The sequence below is a fragment of the Homo sapiens genome, chromosome 2 (genome assembly GCF_000001405.40).
Source record: "Homo sapiens chromosome 2, GRCh38.p14 Primary Assembly".
NCBI lineage: Eukaryota > Metazoa > Chordata > Mammalia > Primates > Hominidae > Homo > Homo sapiens.
In genome coordinates this window covers 217,379,080-217,396,020 of record NC_000002.12, presented here as the reverse complement: position 1 = coordinate 217,396,020, position 16,941 = coordinate 217,379,080, and the positions used below count along the sequence as shown (strand labels likewise).

The window sequence follows — 16,941 nt, the reverse complement described above, 5'->3', positions numbered from 1 at the left end:
AACATGAGTTTTACCTATCATCAGAAAACAAGCAAATGAAACAAACATAAGATGGCAAAATTGAGGGAAAGATGTGGTCATCAAAAAAACCCACAGTTCTCTATCCTCTGAAGATCCTTGGGAGTGTGGTAGGAAATAGACCACATTGCCTACCACTTCCAAAGAATTAGCATTTATAATAGTTGACATTTAGCAGGCATATATTATGTGCCTCAGGCATTGTGCTAAACGTACATTTTCTCATTTAACACTTTCCATTGAATCCTTACAAAACTCTTCAAGTTAGAAACAATTTCTAAGAGTGGTGAGGGTCAAATGAACTAATGCATGTAAAAGTGCTTAGAAATTATAAAGTGTTGGCTGGGTGCAGTGGCTCAAGCCTGTAATCTCAGCACTTTGGGAGGCCGAGGCGTGTGCATCACCTGAGGTCAGGAGTTTGAGACCAGCCTGGTCAACATGGTGAAACCCCATCTCTACTAAAAAATTTAAAAATTAGCTGGGCATGGTGGTGGGCGCCTGTAGTCCCAGCTACTCAGGAGGCTGAGGCAGGAGAATCACTTGAACCCAGGAGGTGGAGGTTGCAGTGAGCTGAGGTCACGCCACTGCACTCCAGCCTGGGCAACAGAGCAAGACTCTGTCTCAAAAACAAACAAACAAACAAAAAACAAAAAAAAAAGAAAGAAATTATAAAGTATTAAAAAGATGGGAGGATTCAACGCATGTTATTTTATTAAATGACTCCTAAAAATTCCTTTGAGCCTAAGACTTACGTAATGAAATAATAGATGTCTAAAAGATATGTGATCCAGCCCTATCACATACCACAAAACATCACCTAGAGAAGTGACATCAGCCTTTTCAGAGAGGGAGAGAAATGTTGTACAACCTGCTTAGGGAACCACAATAATGTACAACCTTCCTTCAATAACCATAAGGATGCTCCGGTCAAATAAGTTGGCCACTAACAAAGACCTACGTGTTGTCAGTTACTAGCTGTGGAGGTTCTTCGTTGCTTTTTGCATCTTGGTTAGTGGCTCTGATCAGGGATGTAGAATTTCCAATTTGACCTCTCCTGGCCTCAGTTTTCACACCAGTAGAATGGGGATATTTCACATGTTTGTACTAGTGCATTAAATGAGTTGATCTATTTAAAACATCTGTCAAAGTGCTGACATACAGGAGCTCATAAAAACAATGATTAAACACCCACTGTTTCAGCCCGGTTTGGAAACTAAAGACACAGAGCTGGTGGGGCTTACTCAGGGCACTGACACGTTCTGTAAAATGGGTGGTATTTGAAAGGAAATGAGTCTCCTGGCATAGGAGTTGGTGGAATGTATGTGTCCTTCAGGCAAGATCCTTGTTTGTTCTTGTTCATACAAAGCCACCCACCTTGCCATTGCATCACTAACTCCTCGTTGGCAATTAGTTGTTCTGGAGTGTGGAGGCATATGAAGGAGTTTGTTTGGGACACTGTAGAGATCTGTTTTGTATTTCATTAAGACAGCTAGAGGGGCCAGCCCAAAAGCTGAAGAGCATTAGAACAGCCATCAGGGTCTATACCCCAAGTAAACAGCTTGGGAGATGTATAGCTGCACTGTCAAAAGAGGAACTTCTGAATCAGACAGATCTCTGTGTTTATAGGCAAATTTCTTAACTTCTCTGAGCTTCAGCTTTAAGGATTAGATATAATAATTTATATAAAACACTTGGCCAGTGCATAATAGATATTCCATATTATGTTCATTTCATTGTTTTTCCAATTATTATTTCAATTATATTCCATATTATTATTTTCAAACCACTTTTATATACATTATTTTAAATTATCTCATTTGGTAGTGAGATAAGACAGAAGAGCAGAAGAGAAACTAGAACCAAAGATTCTCAGAAAATTAATTAAATGAGCTGATGCATTCCTGGCCCTAATATTTCCCACTCTGTGTTCTAGTTCTGATTCTGACACCACCCCAATCAATCAGCAGCTGGTTTGCTCTTTGTTCTCTGATGAATTCCATGGACTAAATCATCTTCAGGTGGTGTGACTGAAGAATGACTGTACAATCACATGTGTTTCAGAAGTGGGACATTAACTCTATCCATATTTGGAAGTTGGGGGTGTGAGGGCAGAGGGGTGGAGGGGTGCAGGCTGAATCGCATGGCTGCTATTGAGTCATAGGTTCTTTCCAAAGATTGGCTGTTGAGTTCTGAAAAGCGGATCATCTCTGGCCCTAAATCTTCAGGGTTGCAGAGGCACAGCCCCAGATGAAGGAATTCTTGGCTCTTTCCCATGGGCTCACTGCCCTGCACGAGGTCTGTGGGAGTGCTGGCAGAAGCAAGATGAAGGGAATAAAGAGAGAGGTGGAGCTTGCCATATCTGGTAAGTGCTGGTGCCTGAATTCTCCTTGTCGGCTACAGCTCATTATATCTAAGACCTCAGATTGGATACTCATCAGCTAATTATAGCCTGAGACCTCTGGAAGTGTCCCTAGACATCAGTTGTCCCCATTTAAACTGAGTGGGGGGGGGGGGTGAGGTAGTAGCAATCCTGATCCCTAAGACCACGAGACTCTGACGGTTTCTGGGTCCAACCCAAAAACCTATCTTAGCAATTTAACTGCGGATCATAGAGAGTGGGCAGGTTACATCATGAAGAGAAGTAATATCAGGAGAAGCCCCTGGGATGGCCTTGCCTGCTCATTTGATCAAGCCTTCCCATTACTCATGTTTTCAGAAAGTGCTGCTTGTCTTCTTTTCCATGTGCCCTGTGTGAAAACTTAAAAAGTTTGGAGATGGCAGATCACGAAGAGCCAGGGTAGGAAAGTCAATGTGGTTGTCTTCTGAACACCCAGCGTCTTCCATTCCAGAGCAGGTGGCAGCAGAGAGTTGACACTGCCTCCCTCTCACACTGTACACACACACACTCAATGCATTGTTATTCTTCATTTTGTGTGCTCAACATGTTTATTCTACTGTGTGTCTGTTGTTTGACTGTTTAGGACAGAGTATTGTACCTCAAGTGACATTCTTCTAGCAAAGGACCCTGTCCTTCAGCATTATTTTTCATAACCTGGAGCTGTTCCACTGGTAAACAGCCTGACTTGTCTATTTGGTACTGGTTATCACTCAAAAATATTATTTTTTTGTGGGGGGACACAAGGTGACAAAGTCTGATTTCAGAGTATCTGAAAAGCCTTTATACTTTACTACGAAATGATCTGTGATTTTCTCCCAGAAGTCTCAACCTTTAGAATTTTTTTTCTCTAGCTGAAACCTTTGTTCCCTGGCAAAATGCTAGAGAAGTGCTGTACGAAAGGGTGCACATTAATGTTTATATCTCAGCTACACTGTAATGATGATGAGTATCGGCTTTTATAGAAAATTAATTTTGGGGTGGGGGTGGCAAAAAAAGAGATAACTAATTTTGCAAGGGAATGGATGAAGACCACTTGGCTGGGGTGGCAGAAAGGGGAATAAAAGGGGAGATGAGAGGGAAAGGAAATGGGGCACCCTTTAAGAGGACAGGAATGTAAAAAATAACTATGCAATGTTGCTAAGGAAAAGTTTCATTTTTTCATAATGTTGAGGAAAAGCTGTGCTTATGGTGAGGCTCTGGGAAAACTGACATGCAGTGTGTTCTCTTTAGCTAATCTATTCTTAAAAGGTAAAACCAAAACACCTAGATATTGTAAGATGAGCACATGTCAAAGATTTTATATTGCTCAATAATTAATAAGGGAACCATCAAGATGTTAGAATTGGCTTGCAGGGCAATTCAAAGAATCACACATATACAGTGTTTGCATATGCTAAAGTTAGATCCTGCTTATATGATAATATGATTTGACTGTGTCCCCACCAAAATCTCATCTTAAATTCCCATTTGTTGTGGGAGGGACCCAGTGGGAGGTAATTGAATCGTGGGGACAGGTCTTACCTGTGCTGTTCTTGTGATAGTGAATAAATCTCATGAGATCTGATGGTTCTATAAGGGGCAGTTTCCCTGCACAAGTTCTCTCTCTTGCTGCCACCATGTGAGACATGCCTTTCACTTTCTGCCATGATTGTGAGGCCTCCCCAGCCACATGGAATTGTAAGTCCAATAAACCTCTTTCTTTTGTAAATTGCCCAGTCTCAGGTTTGTCTTTATCAGCAGTGTGAAAATGAACTAATACAGTAAATTGGTACCAGTAGAGTGAGGTGTTGCTGAAAAGATACCCAAAAATGTGGAAGTGGCTTTGGAACTGGGTAACAGGCGGAAGTTGGAACAGTTTGGAGGTCTCAGGAGAAAACAGGAAAATGTGGGAAAGTGTGAAACTTTCTAGAGACTTGTCGAATGGTTTTGACCAAAAGCCTGATAGCGATATGGACAATAAGGCCCAGCCTGAGGTGGTCTCAGATGGAGATGAGGAACTCGTTGGGAACTGGAGCAAAGGTGACTCTTGTTATGTTTTAGAAAAGAGACTGGTGGCATTTTGCCCCTGCCCTAGAGATTTGTGGAACTTTGAACTTGAGAGAGATGATTTAGGGTATCTTGTGGAAGAAATTGCTAAGCAACAAAGCATTCAAGATGTGACTTGGATGCTGTTAAAGGCATTCAGTTTCATAAGAGAAGCAGAGCATAAAAGTTTGGAAAATTTTCAGCCTGACTATGTGACAGAAAAGAAAAACCCATTTTCTGGAGAGAAACTCAAGCTGGCTGCGTAAATTTACATAAGTAACGAGGAGCTGAATGTTATTCCCAAAGACAATAGGGAAAATGTCTCCAGGGCCTGTCAGAGGTCTTCACTGCAGCCCCTCCCATTATAGGCCTGGAGGCCTAGGAGAAAGTGGTTTAGTGGGCTGGGTCCAAGGTCTCCCTGCTGTGTGCAGCCTAGGGACTTGGTGCCCTGAATCCCAGCAGCTCTAGCCATGGCTGAAAGGGCCAATGTACAGCTCGGGCCATGGCTTAAGAGGGTGCAAGCCCCAAGCCTTGGCAGCTTCCATGTGGTATTGAGCCTGAGAGTGCACAGAAGTCAAGAATTGGGGTTTGGAAACCTCCAGCTAGATTTCAGAGGATGTATAGAAATGCATGGATGCCCAGGCAGAAGTTTGCTGCAGGGGTGGGGCCCTCATGGAGAACCTCTGCTAGGACATTACGGAAGGGAAATGTGAGGTTGGAGCCCCCACACAGAGTCCCTACTGTGGTACTGCCTAGTGGAGCTGTGAGAAGACGGCCACCATCCTCTGGACCTCAGAATGGTAGATCTACTGACAGCTTGCACTGTGTGCCTGGAAAAGCCACAGACACTCAACACCAGCCTGTGAAAGCAGCCAGGAGCAGGGCTAAATCCTGCAAAGTCACAGACATAAAGCGCCCAAGACCATAGGAACCCACCTCTTGCATCAGCCTGACCTGGATGTGAGACATGGAGTCAAAGGAGGGATTTTGGACTTGCATGGGGCCTGTAGTCCCTTTGTTTTGGTCAAATTCTCCCATTTGGAATGGCTGTATTTACCCAATACCTGTGCCCCCATTGCATCTAGGAAGTCACTAACTTGCTTTTGATTTTACAGGTTCATAGGCAGAAGGGACTTGCTTTGTCTCAGGTGAGACGTTGGACTGTGGACTTTTGAGTTAATGCTGAAATGAGTTAAGACCTTGGGGGGACTGTTGGGAAGGCATGATTGGTTTTGAAATGTGAAGAAATAAGATTTGGGTGGGGCTGGGGAGGAATAATATGGTTTGACTGTGTCCCACCCAAATCTCATCTTGAATTCCCACGTGTTGTGGGAGGAACCCAGTGGGAGGTAATTGAATCATGGGCACAGGTCTTTCCTGTGCTATTCTTGTGATAGTGAATAAGTCTTATGAGATCTGGTGGTTCTATAAGGGGGAGCATCCCTGCACAAGTTCTCTCTCTTGCCACTGCCATGGGAGATGTGCCTTTCACCTTCTACCATGATTGTGAGGCCTCCCCAGCCATGTGGAACTGTAAGTCTGGCAAACCTCTTTCTTTTGTAAATTGCCCAGTCTTGGGTATATCTTTATCAGCAGTGTGAAAATGGACTAATACACATGAAGTATGTAAAATAGTCAAATTCCTAGAATAAAAGAATGGAATAGTGGTTACCAGGGGCTGGGACAGGGGAAGTGGGGAATTACTGGTCAGCTGGCATAAAGTTTCAGTTAAGCATGATGAGTAAGTTCAAGAGATCTGCTGTACAAAATGGTTGTCAATAATACTGTATTGCCCACTTAGAAATGTGTTAAGCAGTTAGATTCCCATGTTAAATTTTCTTAACACAATAAAATAAAATTAAAAATTAAAAGGACTTGCCACTGCTTCCGAGAAGTGTTCCTGGAAATCCCCAGCTTGGGGTCTTTTCAGGTCTCTCCAACCACTCTGGTATCTCTAGTAAGCTTTGCCTGTCTTCATCATTTCCTTTATTATATTTTAATTAAATATTCCATTTAAGTATCTGAGTTCATCACTAATATGTAAGCTAAAGACTATGTTTTATCTGCTACTTTATACCTGGTATTCAACACACAGTATGCATTCCATAATGTTTGCTGAATTGAGAGAGGCTTTTTGTATTGATTATGAGGATGGTGAAGATGATTATGGTGAACGTGCAATCTAATTTGTAGCTATGAATTTTGATCACAATAGAAAGGTAACAGCTTGTTTTGCCTTCAGGGCTTTAAAAATGTTACGTGAATATGAATATGAAAAAAACAACATAAAATATGTGTAATAATAGCAAATGTATACATGTATCTGTGTATATATATATATATATAAGACTGGAATGATACCTTTTAAACAAAGAATACCAAAGATCAGTAATAAGTGATAATATTGAACCTTCCTCCAAGCTTTCAATAAGAAAGCTTGGAGCATCCTTTCAATAAGAGCCTTCAGTTGCCGTGACTGTGGGGTTGGTATTATCTCCACCAATACAACATTGAGTTTTTTAAAGCAATAATAAAAACTTGATTCCATTGTAGTTAGTTGTAGGGACTTGCTACAAAGAGGATTTGCCAGTATTGGCCTGCAAGCCACCGTGCCGATTTCTGGAAAGAAGAATGATGACAGATTCAGGGATTAATAATGGCTGTAAGCCTTTCTTCCTCTGCATTCATGATCTAAGGAGGTCCACACCTCAGTTTCTTGTTTCCCCAAATAGGGATAATACTAGTTTTGACTTATATTTTCAAAAGATTTTGCTAGAAAACCAGAAAAATAACTGTGTAGTGAATGTAAATGACCACCAAGCCCAGCACCCCAGCACACAGAAGTTGCTTAATTAAGGCTCTGGCAGCCGGGTGTGGTGGCTCATGCCTGTAATCACAGCACTTTGGGAGGCTGAGGCAGGCGGATTGCCTGAGCTCAGGAGTTTGAAACCACCCTGGGCAACATGGTGAAACTTCTCTACTAAAATACAAAAAAAAATTAAAAATAAAAATAAAAATTAGCCAGGCATGGTGGCATGCACCTGTAATCCCAGCTACTTGGGAGGCTGAGGTGGGGGAATCACTGAACCTGGGAGGTGGAGGTTACAGTGAGCCAAGATCTTGCTACTGCACTACAGCTTGGGTGACAGAGTGACACTCCGTCTAAAAAGAAAAAAAAAAAAAGGCTCTGGCTAATGTGTTAGAAATCCAAGTCAAGAAGAGGGAACTCTTTGATGTCCCAGTCCAGACTGACTGGTAGAAGCCTTCTCAACTGGCAAATACCCTTGTCATTTCTCCTGGCAGGCTTCCCCATGTTATTTGTTTGCAGTGACATGACCCGCTGGTGCCCGGAGACAGGGCAGGGCAGAGAAAGCTTTGGAATCCACAGAGCTCATCGCCTTCCCTCACCCCAGCAAAGCTTTGTCCTCCAGCCCTGTCTCTGGGGCCCTGGGATCAGATTGCTTGCTTTCAGGTGCCAGAGAGACACTTTTCTGTTTGCTCTCCCACCCAGACTGCCCTCAGTTTGTCCTTCCCCCAGGTGGGGATGGCAAGTGACAGAGGCTGTTATGAAATGAATTGCTCTCCTTCCTCCCCTGCCTTTCTTTCCTCTGCCCCCTCAAACCACAAGAATATTTTGGCTTTTTTCCATCACTTAGGGTTTGTATTGTAGATTTGAGTCTGTTCTTGTTCATTGTAAATAGCCCAGAAGTTAGGTTGGGAGTGCAGTCTTTAAAGGTAGGCTACTCTTGGGGACACGAGGGAATGCATGGAGCTGCCTGCACTGGTGATGATGACTTCCTTTGATCCTAGCCCATGCAGCTTGTGGTGCCCTAGTGTTTCCATCCTGCTCCAGGTGGCCTTGTCACTGGCTTATTTTCCACTTGCCTCAGGTATAAAATATTATCTCTTTGAGTACCTTCCATGCCCCCAACAGCTGGCAGAGATTCCTGGTCTTGCTCTCTACCTCTCTGGCCTATGCCCCAATGACATGACCCACTGGTGCCTGCAAGATATTTTCCTGAGGATATTTTCTTTTAGAAGAGAACACCTATTGTTCTTAAAGATGGCAGAACTTCTATGTGACTGAGTAACTTCTGTGTTGCAAGTTAACAGAATTAATAGAAAGCCAGGTCAAACTGGCTTAAGAAAAAACAAAAACAAACAAACAAAAAAACTGGTAGCCACTTCTTCATATAACTGAGAAGCCCAAGAGTGTAGATTAATGCGAGGGTTCAGAAATGCAATACCCAAGATGGAGGCTGCCTGCTGCTCAAGTTGCCAGATTTAGCAAATAAAAACAGAGCATACCCAGTGAAATTCACATTTCATATAAATAATGAACAACTTTTTTGTAGTATAAACATGTCCCTGTACTGCTTTCTCTATTTTATTGGACAACTCTACCTGCTACCATATGTCAGCTCTCTCCTTCCTGTGTTGAGATTACTCTCTGGCAGGCTCTGGGCATGAGGTGACAGAATGGTATCCCTAGACATACATTTCAAGGCTTAGGAACCATTGAAGAAGAGCCTCTCTTTCCCAAGAGTTCCATCAAAAATCCTAAGGTTGTATCTCATTGATCCAGCTTGGGTCCTGTGGCCACCTTGGAAGCAAACACTCTGTCCAAGGAGATGAAATGCAAGGTAGGTCTGCACCATACATCTACCTCTACAAATAGGGCGTAGATTTAGCCCCATCCAAACCACTTGAATGAAGACTGGGGAGGAGTGTTTCCCAAAGGAAACCCAGAGTGATGTTACTGGGAGAAGACAGATGGATGCTAGTCAGACATTGACTCTATGGTTAAATGGTAAATATCCTCTTAGGGCCAGGCCCCCTGGAACAATTCACATCACGCATTGGCTGCTTAGCAGCTGATGTGGGTCACATCCCATGGTTTTGGTCCCAGAGGGTGATTTTGGACAATGGATGGCAATTTAGTTAGCACCTGAATTAACAGTAAAGATAGTAAAAACAAAACAAACAAACAAAATTATCTAGTACCTTTTCTGTGTGAACTGCGATACCCAGTATGAGTCCTACACAAAGATAGGAAAGAAGACATGGCTGATGTCCAGAACTAACATTCTAGTGAGAGGCATCACATTGTGCCTTGTTATAGAGTCTCATGATACTTTCCTTATTTTTACCTCTAAGTAATTATGAATCTACAAAGGAAGAATAAATTAATCCCAGGTAAGGCTTATGAAGGAGACGCATTTGGGCTGGACCTTACAGAAAGAGTTTAGATAGGCAGCTATAGAGGGAAGAAAGAGAAAAATTCCAAACAGAGGAACTAGAATAAGCAAACCTGTTGACTTCAGGCTGCTGCCACCCACACTGGGCAGCATTGCCTTTCAGAGAGATGCATCTTGATATGGACACTTGACTTTACCGGGGGCCAGAGAAACACTAGAGAATGCCAGGAAAATAAATAATCTGATACTCTGAACGCTCCTTCAAATGCTTGTTCAGAGTGAATTTGTAGAGAAAGCTGAGTGATATAGGAGAAAAAGAAAAGGAGAAAGACCCTTGGGTGGGACACTCAGTCCGTTTTCTATTGTCCTTGGTAATTCCTGGCCCCAAATTTGCCTACTGCATTCAAGAATCAAAAGACCTTGAGTCAAATGGACTCATCTTCCTTGGTTATCAAATATCCGGGGTTAGTTAAGCTTAACCTTTGGGGGAAGGAGGGTCTCACCTCCTTGTCCCTAAGTGACTTCATTTTCCCTCTAAGCATTTATAGTACTCTTCCTAAGAGTCATTCTGGTAGGTTCTATTTTTTCCATCTCACATTGCCAGAATATTTTCTTTCACTGGTGCATTTAGCAGGATGGCTGGCCTTTTCCTCCAACTCGGACACCACTCCAAAGGGTTCAAGCTGGAAAAATGCTTTGCCCCTCTTCTCCGTGGCTCCCTGAGTGTTTTTCAGAGGAGATATGAGCATATGTCATTAGAACACATAGTCAAATACCACATAGAGTGTGAGGCTTTCTCCAGAATGGTGCTTTTTTGGGGTCTTTTTTTTCTTAAGCACAAACTCCCCTGTATTGCAGTAAGGATCCCGTAATGAAATGAACTGGAATATGTGGTTCTAGAAAAAAAAAAGATGGGAATGGAGAAAAAAACTATCTAGAAAAAAAAAATAGCAAGCTTGACCCATTGAAGGGAAAAGTTATACTCTTGAGTCAAGAATTAGGAATTGAATTAAACTAAAGAAAAAAACAATAGAGTAATAGATCTAAATGGTATTATATTATATTCCTGTTTCCAGGAGAAATCTCACCTACACTCCTTTTGGAAAACTGGGTTATATTGTCTTCTGTAGAGAAAATGGGCAAAACTTCACTTTATTTTATGGTTCAGTCATCAAGTCAGTTTTTGTGAATAAACTCAAGGTTCCTCCTCCCTTGCCACCAGCCCCATCCTCCCAAGGTGCCTGTGTGATTGTGCCTGCCCTTCCACTTCACACAGCATCATTCCTCTTGTCCTAGGCTCTTCTCCTCCAGGGTGAGTTTGTCCTTTCCATTTCTCAGATACTACGAGCCAGAGACAATAGCTCAGCCTAAAATTTGCCTTTTATTTGTTCTTATTCTCCCCATCTCTACAGAAAGGTGTTATTTTCCTAATTTTTTTAAATCCTCATGGAGAAACCCTAAATGTGTATTGTTAAACATGTCTGAAAAGCTACATCCTGACTTATTCCAATATATGACATTCTGGAAAAAGATCAATGGTTGCCAGAGGCTGGTGGGAGGGAGGGATGAATAGTTAGAGCACAGAGGATTTTTAGGGCAGTGAAACTATTCTGCATGCTATTGTAATGGTAGATACATCACATCATACCTTTATCAAAACCCATAGAACTGCACAATAAAGTGAAGTCTAATGTAATCTATGGACATTAGCTAATAATAATGTATCAATATTAGTACATCAGTTGTAACAAATGTATCGATCTCACTAATGCAAAGATGTTAAAAATAGGGTAAACTGTATGTGTGTGGAAGGGAGGGAGTATATGGGAACTCTCTGTACTTTCTGCTCAACTTCTATGTAAACTTATAACTACTCAAAAAATAAAGTTTATTAACTTAAAAAAGTTCTTTTACCCCAAGTATTTTTTTTTTATTTACTGTTTCCTCTATCTCTGATTCTCCCTTAAGGAAAGTTTGAGTTGAAAGTGACTTAAATTTGCCAAGGACCAAATTTAGAACTACAAATACCAAATTTAGAACTCCAAATATGTCCTCAGCTTTTCAATATATTTTGTTAAAACAAAACACAAATTTATTGTTTTTGTGCTAATCTGAAATAATTGGCACATGTTCATTCAAACACGAAGTTGAGTCTTGGGCAAACTTCAAGTTAACAAGATGTTCTTGTTCCCTTAAATTCTCTTCTCTCATATCATAAGGTCTTGGTCATTCTCTTCCCTGTGCCTTCTCGCTGACCTGAACTGACTCCATAAGAAATTTATCCAATTTGCTGGTGAGCAGGGATCTTGCACATAACTCTAAAAGGGTCTCCTTCTCTTGGCCTTGTTGGGAAGAACTTCACCCCATCCCTCACTGACCCCTCTTGACCATCCTTAGATGCCCCAACTTGGGAATCCACTAAGCGTAACCCAAGAGTGTGACTCATTATCTTAAAAACCTTGGCCATACGTATCTGGGGTGATCCATGAAGACTCTCCAGATATTTATTTAATGAGAGAAGCAAACCCAAACATAGAGCTATGTGGTTAAAAAAGAATTTTAAACAAAGTCCTTGAGCAGTGTTTGACCCCTGTCTTCTATAAACAGCCTCCCTCCCAACCCCCGTCATCCTGCTGGTTATTCCAGGGGGTCAGGGTTATCTGTCTTGAGACACTGAAATCACATAATACTGCACTTCCTCAAGGCACAGAAACAGTCGTGGACCTCAGGGAGTGGAGGGTCACAGGGAAATCTCATGGCAGGACTGTTGCAGGAGTCAGAATATTTTCCCACTTTCAGCCCCAAAGGTAGGCTTCGGGGCAGAGAAGTAGCAAAGGAAGACGGCTGAGCCATATGCTGTATTTGGCAATTTCCACAAGCCAGCCCACTTAACTCTTGGAGATGGGTATTAGGGTCCTTCAGTTCATAGATGGGGAGAATGATGGGCAAGGAGAGAAAGCAGCAAGTCCAATGTGAAGTGGCAAGTGCTCACTCCTCCAGAGCTGGCACTATCCAACGGTAATATAATGCAAGACACAACTGTGAGCCACATATGTAATTAAAAAATTTTTAAGAGCCACATTTAAAAATGGGAAATAATCAAGTGGAATTCATTTTAGTAATATATTTTATTTAGCCCAACATCCAAAATATTATCATTTCAACACATAATTAATATAAAACATGTTGAGATATTCTTCCCTTATTTTCATTGTTATGGCACAAAAACTTTAAAATCTGGTGAGCGTTTTATGCCCACAGTCTATCTCAATTTGGATGACTAACGTTTCCAGTTTTATGTGGTTCACGGCCTCATATCAGACAGTGCATTCTAGATTTGCTTTTATCTTTGGTTCCAGCTGCACCTCTCAAGGTCTGTTTTGCTCTAGTCCTTCACTGAATTGTACTTTAACGTGATGCCCTTGACTTTCAGTGAAGAACAAACCACATGAAATGTCACTGCCTCTGCAGCGGAGGAGTTAGTTACTGTTACCAGATCATTCTCTGCTCCCTGCAGCCTCATGATATTTAAACAAAATATTTTATTGTTGTCCTTTCAAAATGGTATGCATCCTTCTTCATCATAATGAGTATTTTGTAGCTGATTTTGTGCTTTGTTTTGCTTTGGCTACCAGGAGGCTCAGGGCCAAATTGGACTCAATTATAACCATGGATAGATTCATGATTGAATAGGAGACTATAATGACATGTTTTGTAAAATGTTCTGGACTTCATAAATATGCATCCTGTGTTCACAGTAAAGTTTTCTCTCTGGTTATGGACTTATATCTATTTCCCTTCCCAGGAAAAAGGTACTATATACAATTTAATATGTGAACAGTCCTGGAAGGTTTGTTGGTAAGTTATGAGACATAGCATGAATACTTTTTAAATTTTAATTTACTTTTGAGCCTTTCAGTAGAACTTTCTTGCTTGAAAATTCTTAAACTGTGCTTCCAAAACGTAGTAAGCCACAGAGTACTATTATCTCTTTCCTTGTGTGATATAAAGAAATAAAGAAAAGGGAGAATAATATTTTTCCAGATGATAGCAAGAAGGGCTTTCCTTTCTCTGTAGGAATGATAGATAGATAGATAGATAGATAGATAGATAGATAGATAGATAGATAGAGATATTTTAATGCTTCCCCCCAACTTGTGTTATATTTACACAGATGGTGCCCTTCAGTGTATTCTATGGGGGCTCTACCAGAGAGATTGCCACAGCTGGAGCTGTTGTGTTCCTGATCCCCAAAAGGCATTTCCATATAACTCTAGAAGATGAGAAGGATCTGACAGGGAACTTTCAAGTCTTTGGGATAATCCACTGTAATTCCTTCCTTTTACAGATGAGAAAATTATAGCCACATCTACCCACAGGAATGATAGCATTTGCAATGGCATCACTTGCATTGCGAGAAGGAAATGCATTAATAGATCTTCAATTGGAATGGAAGGCTATTTATCCATCTCAGAGACATGGGATTTCTTGGGATGCATTCTTTCATCCAGACTCCAAACTGCATTTACTTGAGCTCGTTTGATTTCTAATTTCTTGTTGGTGACACCCTTGCAACTCAAGCCTTACAGAACGTTTAATTCTGTCTAAAATGTATTATATTGTTGGTTTACCTTATCTTTGATGATTTGAACCACCATCTGAAAATGAACTGCTATTTTATATATGTTAAGAGAAAGGGGAGTAGGGAGAGGGAGAAAAAGCGGAAGGCACAGGGAGAGGTGTTAAACATTAATATAAGTGACAAAAGAATAGCATGCCTATTCTAATTACTCAGACATGTACTAAGCACCAGTCAAGGCCATGCAGGTGGATACATAGATAAATAAGACAAGCATGTGTTCCTTGCTTTTGTGTCACAAAATTAAAAAGTATAAAACGAAACCTTTTTGACTTCACTTTTTCCACTTCACCACCAAATCTTTTTCTTGCTTATGCCTCTCCCATCTTAGTAAAATAAACCATTCTCTGGCAAGCTACATCAGCTACAAACCAGGGAGGCATCCTTGATTCCAACCTCTCCCTTGCCACCATTCCAGAATCATCCAGTTTCATTCCTGATATGGTTTGGATGTATGTCCCCAACAAATTTCATGTTGACATGTGATCTCCAGCACTGGAGGTGGGGTCTGGTGGGAGGTGTTGGATCATGGGGGTGAATCCCTCATGAATGGCTTGTTGTCATCCCCTCAGTGATGAGTGAGTACTTGCTCTGTTAGTTCACGTGAGAGCTGGTTGTTTGGAAGGAACCTGGCAACACCTCCTCCCTCCTGGCTCCGTCTCTCACCATGTGATGCGCCGGCTTCCTCCTCACCTTTGGCCATGATTGGAAGCTCCCTGAGGCCTCATCAGAAGCCAAGCAGATTCAGGTGCCAAGCTTGTACAGTCTGCAGAACTGTGAGACAAAATAAACCTTTTGTCTTTATAAATTACTCAGCCTCACATATTCCTTTATAGTGACACAAAACAGACTGACACAATTCCTCAGTTTCTATCTTCAAAACACAGCTCATCTGTCTCCATTTCTCTCCATCTGTACTACCACCATGATGGGTTGATGCCAGTAACTCCAACACTTTCAATGACCTAGTGTCACGTTCCCTCCTTATCATCCATTCTTCACAAAGCAGTGAGCATGATCAGATTATGTTACCTCCTGTTCAAAGTCCTGCAATGCAGTTTGAATGAGACGCACATCCCTTAAGATGGCCTATGAGACTCACCCCCTTCTCACTTCTGCAGCCTCGTGTCAGTCTACTCTCATCTTTACCAGTGAAACTCCAGCAGCACTGGCATCTTTCATCCCCTCTGTTTCATTGTCTGTAATTAACTTTACTGTGCTTTCGTTTAAACGGTGTGATGTTATCTGAGTGTGCAGGTTAGTTTCCGTGTACAATCTAGGGGCAGCTGGGTTATACTTAAGTTGCCCTAATAAAGGATCCATGCTTCAGAAATGGCCTCAGCATGTACTTTAAATATCAATTTCTGAATATGCTTTAGAAGGTATATTAATTAGTATAAGTGATGTTACAAATAACTTTTCATTGATGAAATAAAAGATATATAGCTGAAAGGTTGTGTAACCCCTCCGCCTTTGCATAAATAAAGTACAAGAACCTGGCAAGCCCAGCAATCCAGGACTTTCTGAGTTGCCTCCTTAGCCTACGACTCCATTTGGCCTTGCGTGCCTTTGCTAAGCAGAGGACCCTGATAATAAATCTTGGTGTTGGAATATTTTTGCCTTTACCTCAAAGTTCACATTTCAGGCAAGGTACTTGCGGGGTGCGCCAAAGGACAGAGCAGGTGGTAGGACGGTCTTTCTGTAGGCTCACTGATAAATGTGTGGGCATCTAGTGGAATTTGGTCCGAAGCTTGCTTCCATGGCAATATGCCACCTGGCAGGTGGTTATGGAAGAATAGCCATATGCCTAACCTCCTCCTCTGGTTGTGTAAAGAATGGGATAGCTGTTCAGCCAGATTGGCCTTAAGTGAGGCCTTGTACTCCCAAAGAGACAGAGCTTTTTAACATCTTGGGAATGTTCTGTTACAATTCCCTCCACCTGGAATGTTCTCTCCCTTGATATTCATCTTCTGATTTAGCCAATGTCAATTTAAATTTCAGTTTCTCAGAGTGGCACTAGGTGACCACTTTTTCTTTTTTTTTTAAATTATACTTTAAGTTTTAGGGTACACGTGCCAACGTGCAGGTTTGTTACATATGCATACAAGTGCCATGTTGGTGTGCTGCACCCATTAACTCATCATTTACGTTAGGTATTTCTCCTCAGGCTATCCCTCCCTGCTCCCCTCACCCCCATGACAGGCCCCGGTGTGTGGTGTTTCCCAACCTGTGTCCAAGTGTTCTCATTGTTCAGTTCCCACCAATGAGTCAGAACATGCAGTGTTTGGTTTTCTGTCCTTGCGATAGTTTGCTCAGAATGATGGTTTCCAGCTTCATCCATGTACCTACAAAGGACATGAATTCATCCTTTTTTGTGGCTGTATAGTATTCCATGGTCTATATGTGCCACATTTTCTTAATCCAGTCTATCATTGATGGACATTTGGGTTGGTTCCAAGTCTTTGCTATTGTGAATAGTGCCACAATAAACATACATTTGCATGTGTCTTTATAGCAGCATGATTTATAATCCTTTGGGTATATACCCAGTATTGGGATGGCTGGGTCGAATGGTATTTCTAGTTCCAGATCCTTGAGGAATTGCCACACTGTCTTCCACAATGGTTGAACTAGTTTACAGTCCCACCAACAGTGTAAAAGTG

General features: G+C 41.7%; 1 long non-coding RNA gene across 12 annotated transcripts in view, besides 1 other annotated feature; it reads left to right on the top strand.

The window, feature by feature from the left end:
• DIRC3 (disrupted in renal carcinoma 3) overlaps window positions 1-16,941 on the top strand; it is a 506,425-nt gene that overhangs the window by 394,423 nt on the left and 95,061 nt on the right. The gene's annotated exons all lie outside the window — the stretch shown is intronic.
• Window positions 7,611-7,780: an enhancer, noted in NCBI's record as "experimental_56988 CRE fragment used in MPRA reporter constructs". NCBI's record gives its function as "activates a minimal promoter by MPRAs in K562 erythroleukemia cells, with activity observed for the introgressed 2:218253049 variant allele {active_cell/tissue: K562}" and the evidence as "EXISTENCE:reporter gene assay evidence [ECO:0000049][PMID:34662402]".